This window comes from Homo sapiens, chromosome 6 (genome assembly GCF_000001405.40).
Source record: "Homo sapiens chromosome 6, GRCh38.p14 Primary Assembly".
Lineage (NCBI taxonomy): Eukaryota > Metazoa > Chordata > Mammalia > Primates > Hominidae > Homo > Homo sapiens.
Window position 1 is genome coordinate 14,736,489 of NC_000006.12, and position 21,184 is coordinate 14,757,672.

The 21,184-nt window shown below is 43.2% G+C and overlaps 1 annotated feature.

Moving 5' to 3' along the window:
• Positions 6,623-7,822: an enhancer, noted in NCBI's record as "P300/CBP strongly-dependent group 1 enhancer chr6:14743342-14744541 (GRCh37/hg19 assembly coordinates)". NCBI's record gives its function as "activates an origin of replication core promoter dependent on BRD2, BRD4, P300/CBP, MED14 and CDK7 cofactors, with strong dependence on P300/CBP, by STARR-seq in HCT116 cells {active_cell/tissue: HCT116}" and the evidence as "EXISTENCE:reporter gene assay evidence [ECO:0000049][PMID:35650434]".

A 21,184-nucleotide genomic window follows, 5' to 3' on the forward strand; every position in this document is an offset into this window, starting at 1 on the left:
GCTGAACATCATTACTTTCAGAGTGATAAATCAGAGAAGGGTAGGAATTGAAAGGGCACTCGACTTTTTCTTCAACTTCTTGAAGAATAAGACTACTAGAGGATTAGTCCTTGGCCACCACTTTTTTGTAATTCCCTGGGCAACAAACTAGTCCTCGACCTAGATGGAAAAAATGGTGAGAAAAAAAGGAAGGGGAGAACAAAGAATGAAGGAAGGGGAGGAGAAGAAAGAATGAAGGAAGGGGAGAGCAAAGGAAGACCAGTCTTACGAATACAGGACAAGAGGAAAAATAAAGTTCAGAATTCTTTCAACTCACTGGAATTTCCCAAGGTGCTTAAAGTGACAGGAACTGCATGGGACCTCAAAGTGAGAGCCTTGTTTATGGGTGTATACATAGAAAGGTTCAATAGGAATGTCCCTTCAATTGGAAGATATAGAAGAGCCTGTATTATTTCATTTTTGTCAATAACGCTCTCATTCAAATCCGTAGTTCACCCTCTTCCCCATGCTATTCTGCCTACTATGTGATCCCCTTTCACACTTGCTCATTCACCATGTACCAAAAGCCAAGCACTGGGAATGGTGCTGCAGACACAAAGAAAAACAACGTACTGCCTCCTACCCTCAGGGAGATCCCGGTCACTGGGGGAGACGCTAGGACCATGCTCTGCAAGAGTGCAATGGGAGAAGTGCTTAAGGAGAAATTAACAAAGAGCAATCAATAGCCCAGAGGATGGGACTCTAACTTAGGGACTGAGGTAAGGGGTCATAGGACGGGTACTCAGTTACATTCCCCAAGAAACAGAGACAGATTTGTGTGCAAGAGGTGTCCTGGATCAGTGCTCACTTGTAAGAAAGTGAAGGAGACAGGACTGGGCAGAGTGAGAGATGCGGTCGCCAAAGAGGCCTCGGCGGATCCCACAGGAAGTCAGCTCTGAAGCTGGAATAACCTTTCTGAGGGGACACGAATTGAGACAAGGGAGTCAGATCGTGGTACCCTGCATTCACTACTCCTTAGATGTGGGCAGTCCCACAAGGGGGAGGGTCATAACCTCAGACACAGCTGCTGCCTTGGACCAAGGGCAATTCTGGGAGAGGGATCCATGTATGAGCCTGCAGCAGGCAGCACCCTAGCACTGGGGAAAAGGGCACCCTGCGCCTGAATAGGAGATGGGACAGCAAACCACAGCATCCACTACAGGAGACTTTCTAAAACGGGAGCAGCCGGGGTGTTCTGGAGTGTGCAAATACTGACAAGGAGAGCAAAGTGTCCTAGGCAGAAAAAACACCAATGGGACCTTCAAGGAGCATCCGGCTTTAGGAAAACTACGAGAGCTTCAGCATGGCTGCAAGGCAGGGCAAGGGGAGGGGAGTGGGGAGAGATGGGACAGGAGAGTGGGCAGCCAGATCCAAAAGAACTCCACTTGCTGAGCTGAAGGGTCTGGATTTTGTCTTGGAAATCAGGGCAAAGTCAGAGAAGGATTTTCAATACTGTTTATAAAGTTATTTTCTAATTTATATTCATAAAGTTTGGGAGTACAATTAAGTACAAGGAGAAAATAAAATACACCTATAATCCCACCACCCCAATATAACCATAATTAACATTTTGATGGTTTCCTTTCTGGTATTTTTCTATTTATAGAGATACATATCTAGGCAGAGAGAGAAAGGTTTTCAAACAATCAGGCAGAGATTTTACCATATACTTTGTATGTTGCTTTTCTGGTTTATATCATAAGCATCTTCATGTCATTTGTTTCCAGATCTTCGTCTACAATTCTTATTGTATCACTGAGATAAATTCCCAAAAAGAAACACATCAGGCCAAAAGACAGAAACATATTAAGACTGAGAACACCAACATCAAAGGTTTAAAAGATAAAGCTGGATACATGGAAATGTATTTTCTTTATTGCCTTTATTTCTTTTTAACTCGCCTCTGTCTTCACTGGAGAACATAGGGAGAAATTCAAGCAAGTAACGGGTGTTCCAGTTCATCGAGGGTCTGTCATGATGGCTTATGAGGTCATGACACAGACCCACAGGGATTGCACAGACATGCTGAGACCGAACAGCATTGCAAAGATCATGTCAGGTAATACCTATGTGCCACATCCAAAACTTGGTCTGTCTTGACCCTCACTCAATTGGAGTATTCAGGTCTCATTTTTTTCCTTCCCCTTGGAAATGATCCAAAAGTACAAGGCCTAGCATCAGATGACCTTTAAGACCCCTTCTCCTCCTGAAATTCTCTGATAGTTATCTCTGTGAATGTTCCTCACAAGTGAGCTACATTGTATTGGCAGCGCTTTCAACTTAATGCTCCTTCCCCTAAGGCAGAGGGAAGAACCTATAAGCCTTCTATTGACATAACAGAAATTGCCCCAAATGCTCTTGAATTTATCTTTATTTGTGCTGCTGCCTATATATTACTTTCTCATGGGATATGGCTTGAATTATAGAAACAATCCACTCCTTCCTCCATGGGTTGCCAGCCCTTCCCCAGGGTCCCGGAATACTTCTTTTTGATGTTCATTCCTAATTTTAATCCAAGTGTTATGTTCTGTTGATAGTCCCTGGAGCCTACATCAGACATAATTCTCTCGCAACAGCAAGTTAGGTTCCGGTAATGTGACCAGCTCTGTTCGTTAGAACCCTTCTGACAACAAGCTCTCTCTCTTCGGTCTTCCTGACATGTGTTTATAATTACTTGGAGTTATCTCTATGGCAGCCTGAGTTGCCTTCCATCTGAAGTGGTCCTTGGGGTGGTGCTCATTAGGTTAGCCTGCTCCTGGGCTCTGTTGTTTTTTTAAAATCTGGCATCTCAGGAGGCAAAATGGTCTCATGAAAAGAAGAGCAAATCAGTATCAAAAGGTCTAGATTCTTGGCAAAGTTCTGCCAGTAACAATCTACATGACGGGAAAATTTGCTTCCCATCTACTCAATCTCTCTGAGTTGTCATAAGGATAAAATAATACTCATCAAGACACAAAACAGCATGCACAGTTGCATAGATGAAGATGACATTTTATTGCTGCAATCTTGTTGATATGAAAAGGTGAGAAATAATGTAGTCCATAAAACAAGTGTATTCATTCACAAAATATTTATTAATCCTACCTGAGAAAACAACAGGCACTTGGAGAACAAAGAAAAATGGGATATAGTCAGGTATACAGTCAAGGGTTCAGCGACCAGAAGGAAAACGGACACACAAACAAACACTTGTCGCAGTGAATAGCACTGTAATGGACTTATATAATCGATGTGGGAGCACAGAGGAGGAAGCAGCTAGCCCTGCCTAGGGAGGTCAACAAAACAACAGGCAACAGGTAATCTTCCAGCAGAATCTTGAAGGATGGAAAAGGCCCAGGCAGATAAATCAGGAAAGAAAACATCACTTATAAAATCTCCACAGCAAGTACAGAAAACCAAAAGTCCATCAGCATGCAGGAGTACCGTGGGTGTGTCAGGAAATACTAAGTCTGGAAGCAAGGCCGGAGCCTTGTTCCCCAGCATGGGCTAATGCATTTGCCCTCTGGGCAAGATGGAGCCAGTGACATGCTTTAAGCATGGATGTATTAGTCATGGTCCAGTCAAGAAACATATGGCACATTGAAATCGGTAATTTAAGACACGTTTTGTTTGTTTGGTTTTGGTTCTTTTGAGACTGTCGCCCAGGCTGGAGTGCAATGGTGTAATCTCGGCTCACTACAATCTCCGCCTCCCAGGTTCAAGCGATTCTCCTGCCTCAGCCTCCCGAGTAGCTGGGATTACAGGTGCACGCTGCCACACCCAGCTAATTTTTTATATTTTTAGTAGAGATGGGCTTTCACCGTGTTCCCCAGGCCCGTCTCGAACTCCTGAGCTCAGGCAATCCACCCACCTCGGCCTCCCAAAGTGCTAGCACTTTGTACAGGCGTGAGCCACCACACCAAGAAGAGTTTATAAAGGAATTATGTTTAAAGGTGTGGGCAAGGTAGGGAAACCACAGAGGGCACTGTTGCCATCCTTAGGTTTGGAAGGGTAAAGAAAGAAATGGGTACTAAAGCTTGGAGGAGAAAGACATGTGAAGAAGGCATCTGATGGAAGCTGTCAGCATCAGTTGAGAGATGCAGCCAGCCAGCAGTGACCCCCAGGGAAAACGTTAGGGAGGTAAATGCCCCCTCACCACTCCATCTTTCCCATCTCACCAATGCTCCCCATTGACCAAACCCAGCCAGAAGCCACAGGGCAATAGAGCTTTGGAAGAAGAAGACAGAGTGGAGAAGGATGGGCCTGGAGGCACAAGGGAAAGCTACCAAGCACTAGGCAGGTAACACCAGATTACAACATCTGCCAGAAAGCAATGTGGAGAAAGGGAGCTGAAGAGAAGGCAGGGGAAATGTAAAGGCATAATCCAGGGAAGAAATGATGGGGATTCAATAAAGCAGTGGTGGTGGCAATGAAGGGTATGATGGACTCAGAGATTTAGAAGATACAATCTAAGGAACTTGGTGGCTACTCACTGGGATCTCCCAAAAGTTATTTCTTGTGCATGTACAGCTCTCCAGGTGATAACTAAAACAACAAGGAAACAAGACGATTATGAGGGATACAGCCTGCCATTTTGGATGTTTGAGACTCACCTTCCTTGAAGCAGCTCTTCTGAGCGGTGGCACCGATCCTTGGATTTGGAAGCCACGAACCGTGCTGAATGTCTCAATATTCATGATCTCAGGAGAAGCATGGCAACTCTAGTGAGTTTCATCATGGCCCCAAAAATATAGGTCCACATCCTGGAATCTGTATATGTGACCTTATTTGGGTAAATGGTCTTTACAGACGTAATTAAGAGATGAGATGAGATTACCCTGGATTATTGAGGTGGGCCCTAAATCCAGTGTCCATAAGTGTCTTTATGAGAGACAGAAGAAGGAGAAACAGAGAAGGTTATGTGAAGATGGAGGCTGAAAACAGAATAGTCTCAGGAACACGGGAGCCACCAGAAGCTGGAAAATGATGAAAGGATCCTCCCTCAGAACCTTTGGAGGGAGCGTGATTTCAGACTTCCAGCCTCCAGAACTGTGGCACAATAAATTTCTGTTGTTTAAGCCATCAGTTTTTAGTAATTTGTTATGGCAGCCCTAGGGAATTAATACAGCAATAAACAGCAACCAAGAAAAACCAAAAGCATATTCTGAGGGTCTATGTTATGGTCTGTAAGTAAATTGAAGCCAAACTTACACTTCATTTTTTTTTTCCCTGTGGCAAACCTGTCTGGTGAGCCGGGGTAGCGCCTGGCTAAAAAAGTCCATGTTTTAGGTTGACTAAAGCCAGATAGCAAAGTTTTAAAATTCCACATTTACATCCAGAGATGTGCACAACACTGTGTGGCACTCACAGCACAACCAGGCAAAATCAGTTACAACTACAGAAAATTTCTGAAGTTCGGCCAACACTCACCACCACCTGCCCCCAGAGCGATCTTGCTACCACCAGGTGAAACTCTTGCTCCTTTCAGCATGCAGCCAGGCATGTGCCTTTAACTTTAGCTGTCTCTCTCACAGGCACAGGTTAGCCCCAGAAGAAAAATGCAAGGACTAAACTTGCTTACTTGAGGTCATGTGTTCTAGATGCTGCAGTTGGCCCAAATAAAATAAAATCTACATAAAAGACAGGTAGTCATAGACACGTTGAAACATGCTTGAAGGTGATTCCAAATATGTTGATATCAACATTGGCTTTGCCAACTAGGCTTTGTCCCTTTATGACAAATAACTTCAGAGACACCCTGGCATATCCAGGTATAAGAGTTTGGCAGAAAGGGTTTTAATTTGTTGCTTGGGTGTCTATGCTTGGGTGGTGTCATTGAACAAACCGGAGAACCCAGTAGGAAGAGCACATTTGATGAGGTAGAACAAAGCAGTGACGGCTGCCATCTTGGATTTGTTGTATTTAAAATGCATAAGGTTACCAAATATATCTGGAGCTTAGGAGTGAAATTTGAGTGAACAACCCAGGTAATTGTTGTTTTCCCCTGTAAAAGCAGAAATTGTTTACATCTTTTTGATGAATTTCTTTCTAAATATCATTGCATAGAACCTGATTTCACTTCTGTATAGCTCAGGGCTTGCTCCTTCTTACCAAAAGCAAGATTTCCATTTGAATACACCTTGCTTCCAAGTTGCCCACTGACCCCACTCTTAACTCCCAGAGTACCCCCTTGGTAGTCTAAACCTGTAAAGGTAATTCCATCCTCCTTATTAGAGTTGAAGATTGGCCGTGTCACCCAGTTCTAGGCAACAAGATGGGATGGCTAAGAGGCTTCTAGGAAGGAGGTACATTGCTTTTCCGGAAGAAGTACTAGAAACCCGCTCTCTCTCACTCACTCGCACTCTCTGGACACAGATAAGGGAGCACTAGCATTAATGTGTTGGCAACCATTCTATGCTCACAAAGACAGCAAGCCCCAGGAGCGAGTGAACCCTCATAGGCAGAGATAGAGGTAACCTGGGGGCTTACAAGCATCAATAAGCCACTGGCCTCTCCTCTCCTGAGCCAACAAGTGTCCTTATCACTTAGGAAAGTTTTTACATTTTCTATGAATTGCCAGTGTAAGCACCCTAACCCATACTGGTTTCTTCTGAAACCACATTACCTGAGACCTTTTCTGGTGAGGATTCTGTCACTGGTCAGTTGTCATTTCTCAGTGACAAATGAGACCACATGCACTAAAGCCCGTAGCCCAATACTTAGCACTCACTAGATGCTCAATAGATGTTAGTTCCTGTCACTTTGTCTTGCTTCTCAGCTTTGATCACTTGCTCTCCCACATCTTCACCATTGCTTCAATGTTTTGTACACTAATGGCCAGGTCCCAGCAGGCCTCCAGATGGCTCAATGGTTAGAAGTCTCACTGCCTAGGAAGTACTGGAACTGGGAACTCCATGATCCACAAACACCAGCAAATGAGAGACGTTGTTTATTAGACTGCTACCATGGCTAGTCACGTCATGGGGGTTCTCACTTTTCCCAGGATTAGCATGAACACCAACACCCAGTAAAATCTGGATTTCAATCATCCAGAGCCAGTTGAAAATGTTTCACTCCTGAGTCATCATTGGCAGTAATCAGTTGTCACATAGCAGATGTTCAAAATAGACTGATTAATAAAGAATTCTGATTATTAGATGATAGTAATAGTGAGAGGAGAGTGAGATGAGAGTGGGCTCATGGTATTGCTAAAGAAGGCCAAGAATGTTGACCAGTAACTTCTCTTGAAAACAGAGCTGCTGTACTTCCCCACTTCGTCTCCCTAAATGGCCTCGTTCCAGGATTGGGCCCATCAGAAATTGAGAAAGAAAGGAGAGAAGGGGGAAGGAAAGAGAAAGAAGGAAGGTGGATAAAAAGAGTTGTGTCTCAAAGTTTCCTGAGCTACAACACTGCCCTAGAATGATCTGTTCTCTAAGGTGTCCTAAGAAATCCTCCCCAAATGGTTGTGGTTTTGTCTTTTTGCTTTGTTGTTTCGAATTCATTCTGATTTGATTGTGAGATACATGAATCTTACAGTAACCTCATGAAACACTTGTGGAGACCTTGGGATATTGTGAAAACATTCTGAGAGCGCTAGCCTGAGAATGCTAGCCTGGGTGGACCACTCCCTCCCGCCTCACCAGTGACTCACTTGGTGACTCAGTGCTTGTCACGCAGAGATCCACTGGGCCCATGTGCAGCTCACCTTCCTCCGCCTACCTTGAGGAAAACTAGGGACTCATTAGACAAAGTGTTCAAACTGTTTTCTGTTCCTCCAGGCATAAGTTATATGTATACAAGGCATTATCATCTCCCACACATTAAGGAGCAGTGGAAATCGGAAGTGGGGAATAGGAGGCTGGGGGCATTGGAGGGGCAATCTTACTTTCACAAAGATGTTAATTGAATGTTACCAGCAAAGCAAAGACCTAGAAATTTCATAAAATAGAAAAGATTCTGATTATTGTTTTCATTATCAAAATTTCTAATTTCTTGAGGACTTTAAAAAAAAGAAGGCGGCCAGGGGCAGTGCCTCACACCTGTAAACCCAGCACTTTGGGAGGCCAAGGAGGGAGGATTGCTTGAGCCCAGGAGTTTGCGACCAGCTTGGCCAACATGGCGAAACCCCATCTCTACTAAAAATGCAAAAATTAGCCGGGCGTGGTGGCATGTGCCTGTAAACACAGCTACTCGGGAGACTGAGGCAGGAGAATTGCTTGAACCCAGGAGGTGGAGGTTGCAGTGAGCCAAGATCGTGCCACTGCACTCCAGCCTGGGCAACAGAGAGAGACTCTATCTCAAAAAAAAAAAAAAAAAAAAAAAAAAAAAAATTTAACCATACGCAGTGGTGCATGCCTGTAGTCCCAGTACGGAGGAGGCTGAGGCAGAAGGATCCCTTGAGCCAGGGAAGTTGAGGCTGCAGTGAGCCATGATCATGCCACTGTATTCCAGTCTGGGCGAGAGAGAGAGAGAGAGAAAGTCTTAATGTGCCAGTGCAAACTTCCATTTCACATATATTAAATCCCCTTTTTACCCTAAAAGACTCTAAAATATCCTGTAATATTTAAATATTTGCACTTTTATTTCTCTCCCATATAATCACCTCAACTTCAGTTTATGCAAATATGTGAAATCTTCAAACATAATAGGAAGCCAAGTTGCTCACAGAAAGGAAACCTATGACAACCTTCATTACTGCATGCCAAAAATGTCAGGCCAATCTACTAATTTACTAGAACCAAGATAAAACCAGCTCAGCCAGCCAGCGCTCAGGAGTTCCCTCTCAAACATATGCAGGGTTAACAAAATATTGAGCCTAAACTCATTTGGAAAATGAGCATGTGTTTTTTTTTTTTTAAGCAGAGGCTGCTTGCTGACCCAGCCTTCCAGTCAAACAGCTAAAACTCAGCTTGTCCTGTTTCCCTTGAGGTCTGAGTTCTAAAGTCCCCTAGTTTCAATACATTTTGCCAGAAATAACTTTAAGGATCTCCTGAACAGGCACCAAAGCTCTTGTAACAATGTAGTCACTTTAAATTAACATCCTAACTTAAAATAACTAAACCTGATTTTTGTTCGTGATCAAAATTTATATTGGAACACCTCCACAGAGGTCAAATTTAACGTATTCACTGACAAACAAGACAAGCAGGGAGGGCATTTACTGACAACCAAGAATTGGAACAGGATGTCAAAAGCAAGGCTGTTTCTGAAAAGAAAATATTAATAGTTTATTTACATTGCCAATCACTGTGGGTTGAACCTAACCCTTAATTAGGCAAAAGAACCAATGGGTAAATCCTCCTCCCCCAAAAGTTTTTCTTTTCCTGAAAGTTCCTTTTAGAAAGCAGCAACCTAGAGGAAAAAGATCTTTAAAAAGGAAAAAGATTATGTGTGTGCCGAAACCTGGAAACAACCAAAATGTCCTTCAATAGGTAAATGGTGGCTCATCCATACTATGAAATACTACTCAGCAATAAAAAGGAGTGAACTATTGATACACAAAATAACTTGGGTAGAATTCAAGGGCATTATGCTGAATTTTATAAAGCCAGTCTCAATGTATCATATACTATGCAATACCAATTAGATAGCATTCTCCAAATGACAAATTATAGACTGCAGAACAGATTAATGGTTGCCATGGGGCTAGGAATGGTGAGTAGAATATGATTATAAAGGGGTTACAATGAGGGAGATCTTTGTGGTGATTAAATAGTTCTGTATCTTGTTGCATCTACACATGCAATAAAATGGCATAGAACTATGCACATGCATTGTACCAATGTCAATTTCCTGGCTCAGATACAGGACAACAATTATGTAAGATGTGATCATTGGGGGAAACTGGGTGAAGGGCACACAGGACCACTCCACACTATTTTTGCTATCATTGCAACTTTTTGCAAATCTATCATTTATTCAAAATTAAAAAGTCAAGAGAAAGCAAGCAAAAAAGGATGAGGGAGGAAGTAACAGAAAGAAAGAAAGAAAAATAAACAACTTGGGATAGATATTGACAACTCCAGAAATGAAAGATGACAGGAAAGTTTGGAGGAGGGGACAGCAGGGTAAATATTAAAGGTTACAGTCAGGCAAGCTGACAACCAGAAACTGTTTGGATTGTAAATTGTAAATGAACTCAGTGGACAGAGAAGGGGAAAGATCATTGAACTGTTACCCCTGAATGACAAGGATAGAAGTGAAGCACTGTGAGCCCAAGACATGGAGTAAATGTGGCAGGAGCAGCTCCAGGAAAGCCCGGTGGGGACGGAAGAGAAAAGGAGGGGGCAGATGTAGTAGCTGATGCTTCCTAGGATGTGACATGCATCAAGCGAGAGAAAGGATGACTGGGGGAAATGTCCGACCTAGGAAGAAATACTGAGAAAAAAAGACATGCCATAGAAATCAGTAAGCTGAGGAAGAAGAGGCAAAATTCTTGGGCGTGAGCAGAATTACTGATAAAATAATGATGACATGATAAAAGAATATCACAGGCAGGGGAGTTGGAAGGAGAAAAGAACTCACTCAGATTTGGAAAGTGACAAAACAAAACAAAACAGTTCTTCAGGGAAGAAAAATAATGAGCAGCAAAATACAAAACACAATGACCTCTGGAAAGGTGTTCCCTGCACAGGTCTAGAAACTCAACAACAGACATCCTGAATTTTCCAGATGCATTTAACAAATATCTTTGAAATATCCCAATACATATCAAGTCTACATCAAGCCTGATTTTCACATCAAAAGACCCCCATGATCATAATGAGCACTATTAATGCACAAATTACACGAAGCTGCAGGAAGCTGAAGCGCCAAAAGGGAGCAAAACGCTGATAAGCCAACTTTTGAGCAAACATCTTGAATTCCCCCAGGGATACGGACCACCAGGATCACCAAACTCTGGTGTCCCCATGAGAATAAGCAATCAATAATATTAAAACCTTAAAATTAAGGTAGTAATTCTAACATCTTAGAATCTGGATTTTAATGTATTTATTTATTTGAGACGGGGTCTCACTCTGTGCCCAGGCTGGAGTGCAATGGCGTGATCTTGGCTAACTGCAACCTCCACCTCCCCTACTCAAGCAATCCTCCCACCTCAGCCTACCGAGTAGCTAAGACTACAAGCTTGTGCCACCATGAACAGCAGATTTTTGTAGAGATGGGGTTTTGTCATGTTGCCCAGACTGGTCTCGAACTCTTGGGCTAGAGGGATTCGCCTGCCTCAGCCTCCCGAAGTGCTGGGATTACAGGCATGAGCCACAGCGCCCAGCCAGAATCTGAGATTCAGTCGTGGGCATAAAGGAATTGTTATCACACAGTGACAGCCCAAGTTCATGGTCTTTACAAGAAATACTGTGAAACCCCCAAGAGGGTAGCCCCTACATAAAGAGAAGGAATAAAGATGGCTGGCCACTCCTCACAGATGGAGAAGTTAAAAAAACAAAATCCCAGTTTCTCTCTCAGCTACTGGGTAAATAGCCATTCAGAATGCTTTGGAAACATTCACTTAAAAATGGGAGAATAATTGATGTCATTCTGAAAATGTGGTTAGACAAGAATTCAATTATCTCCACTGCCACCAAACCCAACCTCCAAGCTTGGATAAGAAGATAGCAAATATTCTAAAAATTAAGAAACCCAAAGCATATGGTAAACTTTGCAAGGTATCATTCCCCAATGAATTATGTTCTTGTGGTAATACAAAAACATCTCATTTTTCTTAGCAGTTGTTTCATGAATGCCTTGCAAAAGAAAGTGTGAGTTTTTAGGGGGAATCCTCTGCTAAACCATAGTGAATGCTGGGCTTCGAGGTCTGTGGGTGGGCTGGTGCCAACGACTGAGAGAGGTGAGAAGTGAAATTTTTCTGCAAAAGAACCATGGCTGAAGGGAAGATTTCTCTAAAACAGAGAATTTGAGAAGCTACTTGGTGGAAGATTTTAAAGACCCAAAGAACAACAGCTGAGAATAGAACTGGGGAGGGACTTCTCACGGTGATTTGGGAAATTAAACTCTGAGCATCACGAGGTGTAAATCCCCTCTTCGGTCTTCCTTATAAAATGTTCAGTAAAGTTTGCATTCTCACTTTTCGAGAGTGAACTTCCTTTGAGAGAAAAACACAGAAGTATAGAGCCCTGCTTCAAGATTGGCACAAGGGCAAAAGCATAGTTGTAGAGTGACCCTTTTATTAAATATTAATTATTTAATATGAGAAGAACCTGAGGAAAACCAAGCACAAAGGAAGAGGGAGGGGAAGGGAGGTGGTGAGATGATTACCTTCTTCTTTTACTAAAATTTAGAATACTTGAGTCACTTACTCTTTCCTGGTTTCCAAACAGGCTCTGTGGAGACGTGTGAGAGCCTAAGGTTTATTACTCGGGTGTCAGCTCATTCATTCCCCACCGCAAACCTCAAGTAGCTTTTAGTATCACAAAGATCATTCTCAGCTCTAATATCTTTTTCCCTTCTCAGTATCTCGAAAGCCTCCTCATCCTCCTCAGAAACAAATCTAGGTGTCTTTAAAAAGATAATATGTTATTTTCTTTGCTCTGTTGCTGCTTCTTCCTGTGGTTATCATCTGATTATAGTTCTTTCCATAAAATGTTACGCTTAACTCTTTTACCAAATCGCCAGATAATCTCATTGCTACTACCTGAAATACTGTTTTTTTCCAGAAGGGTTGGCCATTGTAGGAAGTGAAAAACTGATGTGAGTCCATATATTTATCCCTTTGCAATTACACTCTATCACCGAGGTAGACTAAATCTTCATTTTCCTTTATCCCCAATCCAGACTGTAAGTTTCTTTTTATTTCAAATAGCAAAATAGAATTCAGCACACACAACTGACAGCAATGGATGGGTAGATGTCTGTGTTAGTCTCATTAGCATGCACTTCTGTGAGACTGAAGGAGCAGTTTGCAGAGCCCCTTTTCACAGGGAGCCTGGGCAGCCTTCAGACATGGAACCAGAACTCGTCTTGGAGCAAGAAAGACCTGTCCTCCAATCCTGGCTCTGCCCTTGCCACTCAACACTCTTGACAAAGTTTCCTAACTGCTTGAAAAGTCATTAAAACAAGGATAAAGTTTTCCTTACAGATAACAGGAATGGAAGTTCAAGGCACACAGTGGAGGCTGAATTCCAGGTTGTTCCTTAACCCCAACCACCCAAAGATTAATTGATCAGAAAGAAGTTTTAATGACTCCCTACTTTCCCAGCCAATCTGCTTTCTAATTCACTTTTCTCAACGCTGTCCTCTCTCTGCCATTAATCTGTCCTCTTGTTTGTTCTACACCCTCACCCACAGAGTGTATAATTATCCTCCCAGTTTTCGGAAGAAATGGCACCACAATACTTGCTATAATAGCCATGGTTGTTTGAAGTCCCTGAACAACTGGACAGCAAGTTGTTGATGTGATTGGAGGAGGAAGAATGACAGTGTTAGGTGATGTTCAGTGCAGGACAGCCGTCAGGGTAGATGGCTGATTTTTCCCCAGTTAGTAAAAGGGATTTGTATCCTTCATGTTTCTCCCACAACACATCCAAGATAGTCTTACTAAAATATCCTTCCTCATGCTCTTCCTGCTCAAAAATTTGTCAGTCATCCAACCCACAAATGCCTATTGATTGTTACTGCCATACCGTCCCTCAGTTGTCAATCAAGATGCTGTTTGCTTTATCCCAGCAATAAAGGACTAGGGTACATGCTATGCCCACAAGCCTCCTGCCTTGTCAGAAAGCTTTGTTTTCCAGCCTCTCCAGCCTTCTCCCGTGACGCGGAAGCTCCCATTACAAGAAGCCATCATAAAAGGTTGGAGATAAAACTACTGGAAACAATCTTTTTTTAAATGCCATTTTGCTTTTCTGTAGTCCTTGAGCCAGGCTTTTGTGCTAGCACCACGGTCTCTCTCTGGCCTGTGGCCATTCCTCTCCTCTACTGTTTTCTCACCAAGTCTGACACTGTTTTGCATCTCCCACAGCTGTGAACACAGCACTCTGCAAATACTTTGGTTCAGTGTAGACATATTGTCTTGATTTGATTTCTCCTAGGATCTCAGTAGCTTTGTTGGCTGAACTCTTAGGCCTTTGAGTCACCTGATGGGTAGGGCTGGCAGATTTAGCAAATAAAAATACAGGACGCCCAGTTAAAGTTGAATCTCAGATAGACGATGAATAATTTTTATATGTCCTATACAATATTTAGTAAATATATGCGAACAATTCATTTTTTATCTGAAATTCAAATATAACGGTATATTCTATACTTATCTGGAAAGCTTACTGGTATGTCACCCAAAACCAACCAAGAGATTAATCTCTATGTTTAGTTAGTGACTTCTAGGCAACAGAGATGACCTCTGTGTGGCAAAACTCTGATAATCCCTGATTACGAGAGAGAAGGGGAAGAGTGAATATGGGAACTCTGGCAACAGCATATTCAAATCGTCTGTCTGGCAAAAAAAAGGGCTTTGCCCCATTCTACTGAGTCAAGGTGGCTGATTGCATTTCAAGGGATGGGGCAAGTCGGGGGGGCCATGGAGGCCTGGAGCGAGGAATTGTTGCAAAGCAGTGGTATGCAATAACTGCTCCCCTTCTAAGAAAGTGAATTCTTGCCAGGCCTAGTGTCTCGTGCCCGTAATCCCAGCACTTTGGGAGGCCGAGGTGGGTGGATCACGAGGCCAGGAGATCAAGACTATCCTGGCTAACACAATGAAACCCCATCTCTACTAAAAATACAAAAAATTAGCCGGGCTTGATGGCGGGCTCCTGTAGTCCCAGCTACCACTCAGGAGGCTGAGGCAGGAGCATGGCGTGAACCCGGGAGGCGGAGCTTGCAGTGAGCCAAGATCGCGCCACTGCACTCCAGCCTGGGTGACAGAGCGAGACTCCGTCTCAAAAAAAAAAAAAAAAGAAAGAAAGAAAGAAAGAAAGTGAATTCCCCCACAAGGGTCCCCACCAGCCCTGCCTTGTAAACGTGTTCTAAATCAAGGCTGAATAGAGGTGGAAAGTGTGGTCAGGTATGCGTCTTGGAAAGTCATCCCTGCCCACTAAGCCACTCCAGTCTGTAGAGTCACAGTCTTGAATATTTTTGGACAACAGAAAAATAAACACCCATGCCCAGAAGTCAGGGGCATCCCCAGGGATTTGGGCAACTCCCACGTTATCCAAGAGAGTTGGCAGCATATTTTCTACCTAGAGAATGAGGGTACTTTTTCCTTTGTAATATGATTTCTTGGCTGAAGAGGAACTATTAGGCACCCTGAGATGCTCTGTAGAAATGCAAGATGATATTGTATTGTATTAATGTCACTTAATGGTAGCTGTCAATGATGGTGATGGAATAAATATGGAAAAGGAAATTACTGTAATTGATTGACAGTCTGGAATCTTCCATATTCGACCTAATGAGAGAAACCTATGAGCAGCAGCTTCCAGTGCAGGCTATTAATGCAAATCATATGCACCGTACCGGCATGCTGAATTATGCAATGCCATGTGAATGTCTAATCCATTTCACCAGGCTTGTCTTTATCCAGAAAAAATATATATATATTTCGCTGACATGCTGATTCGTATATTAGGAGAGTTTAAGAAGTTTGGTGCTAAAGTAGGTGCCATCGTAGTGTTATTAATTTAGTTCTGAACAAGACAAACAGCTCTGTGCAGCCATCAAAATCACTACACAGGTCTACAAGATAACTTTGTCAAGACTGAGGGAATTTACAGAAAAGTCTTGTGATATGTGGAAGGAATTAGCAAATAGATAAGGAGCACACAATTTTTCTAGAAAACCACTGTCAAGGACTCAGTACCCATGCACAACCAGACATGTGCCAAGACATCTACCATGCCTGCACAGTTCTGTTTTGCAGTGGTTCCGAAACTTGTGGAAAGTTCTAATAGAACCAGATGTAAAAAGTCAAGGGAATAACAGGTAAAAAGATTTAGGCCCTGCTTTGGGGACCCCATGGAGATGTAAGTACTGGCCAGACATCATCTTCAAGAAGAGCAAAACACTCCCTGTGGGAATATGCTTTATATGGAAAGAAGTCTTTGTGACAGAAAAATAAGTTGCCAATTACCCACTAATTACTCATCCCCAAGACTCACAGCTTTGAGAAGTCCATGGCCCTAACCAAGCTCTTCACTCTCTGTACATATCAATACTTAAAATTTGGACCATTAGAGGAAGTGACTAGAATTCTAACTATGCGTCCCCCAGCTCCTAGGAGTAAGCTCTGACCTGGCTGCTCAGAGGTACCACAAATGTCCCCAGATTGGCAAGCACTGGACTGAAAGACAGAGAAAGAGAAGGTGTCATGCACTGCAATTTCCCACTAATGGTCTACAGAAAGACCTAAGTTGGTGCAGATTTTTTTTTTTTTTTTTTTTGAGACGGAGTTTCTCTCTTGTTGCCCAGGCTGGAATGCAACGGTGCAATCTCACTCCGCCTCTTAAGTTCAAGCGATTCTCCCGCCTCATCCTCCCGAGTGGCTGGAATTACAGGCATCCACCACCACACCCAGCTAATTTTTGTATTTTTAGTAGAAATGGGGTTTCACCATGTTGGCCAGGTTTGCCTTGAACCCCTGACCTCAGGTGATCCACCCGCTTCAGCCTCCCAAAGTGCCAGGATTATAGGCATGAGCCACCGCACCCAGCCAGAGATGAATTTTTATTTAATTCCACACAAATGTTTTGAACACCTTTTATGTGCCAGGTGCTGTGCTAGACCCTGGATATACAAGCTTACATTCTAATGGAAGAGGCAGTAGGAGGTGATAATTACAGGAGGATGTGAAGAGTGTCACAAAAGAGGAAAAAGCACAGGTATATAAGGGGGACTGAAGTAGCCTGGAGGCTCGGGAAGCTGTCGTTGAGGAAGAAGTCCTTAAGCCAGGACTCCACAGATACTGAATTTTTTAAATTGATAAATATAACAAGAATTGTATATTTTTATGGTGTACAACATGATGTTTTCACATATGCATACACTGGCATTCCAACTAGCTAAATCAAGCTAATTAACATATCCAATATCTCACATACCTATCATTTGTTGTAATACGAACATTTAAAATCTATCTTAGCAATTTTCAAGTATATAATATATTATTATTAACTATAGTCACTATGTTGTACAATTAATCTCCTGAGCTTATTCTATCTAACTAAAATTTTATATTCTTTGACCAACATCTCTACAACCCTGGCCCATCCACCAGGCCAGCCTCTGCCAACCACCATTCTACTCTCTGCTTCTATGAGTTCAGCTTTCTGAGATTCCACCCATAAGTGAGATCACACAGTATTTGTCTTTCTCTGCCTGGCTTGTTTCACTTAGCATAATCTCCTCCGGGTCCATTTATTTGTTGCCAATAACAGGATTTCCTTCTTTTTTAATGGCTGAATAATATTCCATTTTATATATGTAAAGCATTTCATTATATGTAGATATCATGGAATATTCTTTATGTGACATATATATGCATATACATACATATCGCATTTTCCTTATCCATTCATTCATGGATGGACGTTTGAGTTGTTTCCATATCTCAGCTAGCGTGAACAGTGCTGCAGTGAACCTGGGGGTGCAGAGATCTCCCTAACATACTAATTTCATTTATTTTAGCTGTATACCGAGATGCAGGATTGCTGGATCATAGGGTAGTCCTATTTTTAATTTTTTGAGGAAATTTCACACTGTTTTCCATAATGACTGTGCTAGAGAGTGGGGTGAGTTTTCATTTTAATAATCGTGTAGTAATACAAATGTGTATTAGGAAAAATATATACTTGACAAACTTATGATTTCATTGTCATTATATATACTGACATAAATTTTCCCTTTTAATTAATTATTTATTGAAGACATGGTCTTACTCTGTCCCCCAGGCTGAGTGCAGTGCTATGATCACAGCTCACTGTGGCCTTGAACTCTTGGGCTCAAGCGATCCTCTCACCTCAGCCTCTCAAGTAGTTCGAACTGCAAGGGTGTGCCACCATGCCTGGCTAATTTTTTTTTTTTTTTTTTTTTTTTTTTTTTTTTTAGAGACAGGGGTCTCACTATGTTGCCCAGGCTGGTTTTGAACTCCTGAACTCAAGAAAATCCTCTCACTTTGGCCTCCCAAAGTGCTGGGATTACAGGCATGAGCCACTGTGCCCAGTCAAATTTTCCCTTTTTAAATAAACCAACTTAATTTTTAAAGTGAGTTAACACAATATTAAGCAAACAACAGTGAATTAGTCCTCACATATACTGCAGACTGTGAATTTGGTGGTGAGTGACGTTTCGGAAACCCATATGAGGGAGAGGTGGCAGGGAGGTGAAGAGGGGCTGCCCCGAGGACAGGGCCCTGCGGGGAGAGTTGAAATAACAAAACTAAGACAGAGAAAGTCGACTCAGAAAGTTCCTCCATGAGCTCTCACATATATTGGATTCTTCCTTCATCACCAGTCCCCTGTGGTGTAACGTATTCTCGTCGAATTTTCTATAGAATAATTGAGGCCCTCACGAGGTTAACTAAAACACTAAGGTCACCCAGCAAGTTAGCAGCGCAAAGAGAATTAACAAAACGGCCGCCCTCGCCCAGTTGAGAACATCGGCATCTCTCACCTCCGAAGTTCCGAGGGTGCCGCAAGATGGAAAATGAAACTTTCTGTAAAGCAAACTGAGTAAAATAGAGGACTTCGGAGGAAAAAATAAGGGCTGCGGCTGGCTTGGAAAACATTACATTGTTTTCATTACCGTATGTACTTTGAGATGACCCAATTTGAAGGTGCTTGAAGAAGCTTGCTGAATATATGTTCTGTCTCTTTTCCTCTTTCCAAATAAGGCTACATTCACAGGTGCTTGCGACTTCAGCAACTTGTGACGGGGCAGACACAGTTCAACCCATAATACACAATACAGAATGTGGATTTTATTCTAAATGTAATCTCTTGGAGAATTTTAAGCAGGTGAATGATATGATCTGATTTCTGCTTTTTAAAGGTCACTCAGGGCCGGGCGCAGTGGCTCACGCCTGTAATCCCAGCACTTTGGGAGGCTGAGGTGGGCAGATCACGAGGTCAGGAGATCGAGACCAGCCTGGCCAACATGGTGAAACCCCGTCTCTACTGAAAATACAAAAAACAATTAGCCAGGCGTGGTGGCCTGTGGTCTCAGCTACTCGGGAGGCTGAGGCAGGAGAATGGCGTGAACCCGGGAGGCGAGCTTGCAGTGAGCCGAGATCGCACCACTGCTCTCCAGCCTGGGCGACAGAGCAAGACTCTGTCTCAAAAAAAAAAAAAACAAGGTCACTCAGGTTGCTGTGTGGAGAATGGATTATTAGGGCCAAAACCAGAGGCAGGGACACCAGTTAGTCCAAAAATTCAGGCAGGAGATGCTGGTGGCTTGGAAGAAGGTGTTCTGGTAACTGTAACCGGGTATATGCAGCACTTAGGCAGGTGGGGCCTCTCAAAGAATTGAACCAGGAAATGAGCTAACACTCAATCCAGAGAACTCCTAGTCCCTAAAAAGCCAGGTTGGCCACACTGGAGAGTCCACATCCTATCTAACACAATGTCCGGCTCTTGCAAAGACAAGAAAGGGCGTTCCATAAAAGATGAATGAGTCCTTCTCAACATCAACTTTGTAGCTGAGTTTTCCACCTGGCCCCCAATTATCCAGATAACTTATTAAAAGAAAACTTGTCATCCATGAGTTTCTCTACACCAAGGGAAGATGGTTCCGTTTCCCAGTCTCCACCATCGTAGGGATAATGAGCTCCATAAGCCTATCCCTGTTGTATGAGGAGAAGGAGAGGGTACTCGACCCAGAGCTCTTCCAGGAATCCTTACACTGGCTGCATTCTCAGTCTGGGAAGGCCAATTGTGTTCAATCCATTGCCCTGACTAGTGCTTCCTCAGCCCTGCCACCACGATTCACCAATTCCTTCTTTGTCCCTGCCCTGCCTCTTGCCCCATCTCTTTCCTTCCTCTGTCCCTGACCCCCAAGGCTCTCCTAGGCTTCCAGCTTCAGAGCTCATGATTCACTCACTCACTCAGCATTTACATGAGAGCACCTACTGTGTGCCAGGCTCTGCTCTAGATCCTGGGCATCCGGGCACCATGCTTGCTCTCATGAAGCTTACATTCTAGTCAGAAGAGACAAGCAAATAGAAGAATCAGTTTGGCCAGGTACAGTGGCTCAGGCCTGTAATCCTAGCACTTTGGGAGGCCAAGGCGGATGGATCACCTGAGGTCAGGAGTTTGAGACCAGCCTGGCCAATGTGGCAAAACCCCATCTTTACTAAAAATACAAAAATTACCTGGGCGTAGTGGTGGGCGCCTATAATCCCAGCTACTTGGGAGGCTGAGGCAGGAGAATTTCTCGAACCCAGGGGGCGGAGGTGGCAGTGAGCCAAGATCACACCACTTCTCTCCAGCCTGGGTGAAAGAGCAAAACTCCGTCTCAAAAACAAAACAAAAGAAGAATCGATTTAAAAACATCAAATAGTGATAGTGCTCTCTATGCAGGAGTATTTAAAAACAAAACAAAACACTAATGTGAAAGAAAGTGAACAAGTGAGTACTTTACAGTCTGAGAAAGCCTCTCTGAGAAGATCATGTTTGTCAGGCTATCTAAACCATGTGAAGAGTAAGTGAACAGCAGTCCAGGTAGATGAATAGCTCGTGCAAAGGCCCTGGGGTAGGGTGAAAGGGAAGGTTCACAGAGCTGAGTGAAGGCCAGTGTGCAGTAATTCTCAATGGGGCTTCAGTGACAATATGATGTGTGACTGTTCCATGCACTTGGGGATTTGTAGCATCCCTGGCCTCCCTCCCACTAAATGCTGGTCAAGCCCCTAGTCCTAACTACTGAAAACTAGACACACACACTTTTTCCAGTGGCATTTGGGCAGCTGTAGTGCTGCCCTAGTCAAGAAGCACAGCAGGCAGGAATGAGCACAGTTTAAGGGGGACAAAGAGGAAGGTGGGCCTGCATCACACCAGCCTTTGTAGGCAGTTGTATTATTTTCCTAGGACTACTGTAATGAAGTACCACAAATTGGGTGGCTGAGATAACACAACTTTATTAACTCACCATTCTGCAGACTGGAAGTCTAAAATCAAGGTGTCAGCATTTCTAGTTCCTTCTGAGGTCTGCAAGGGAGGATCTGTCC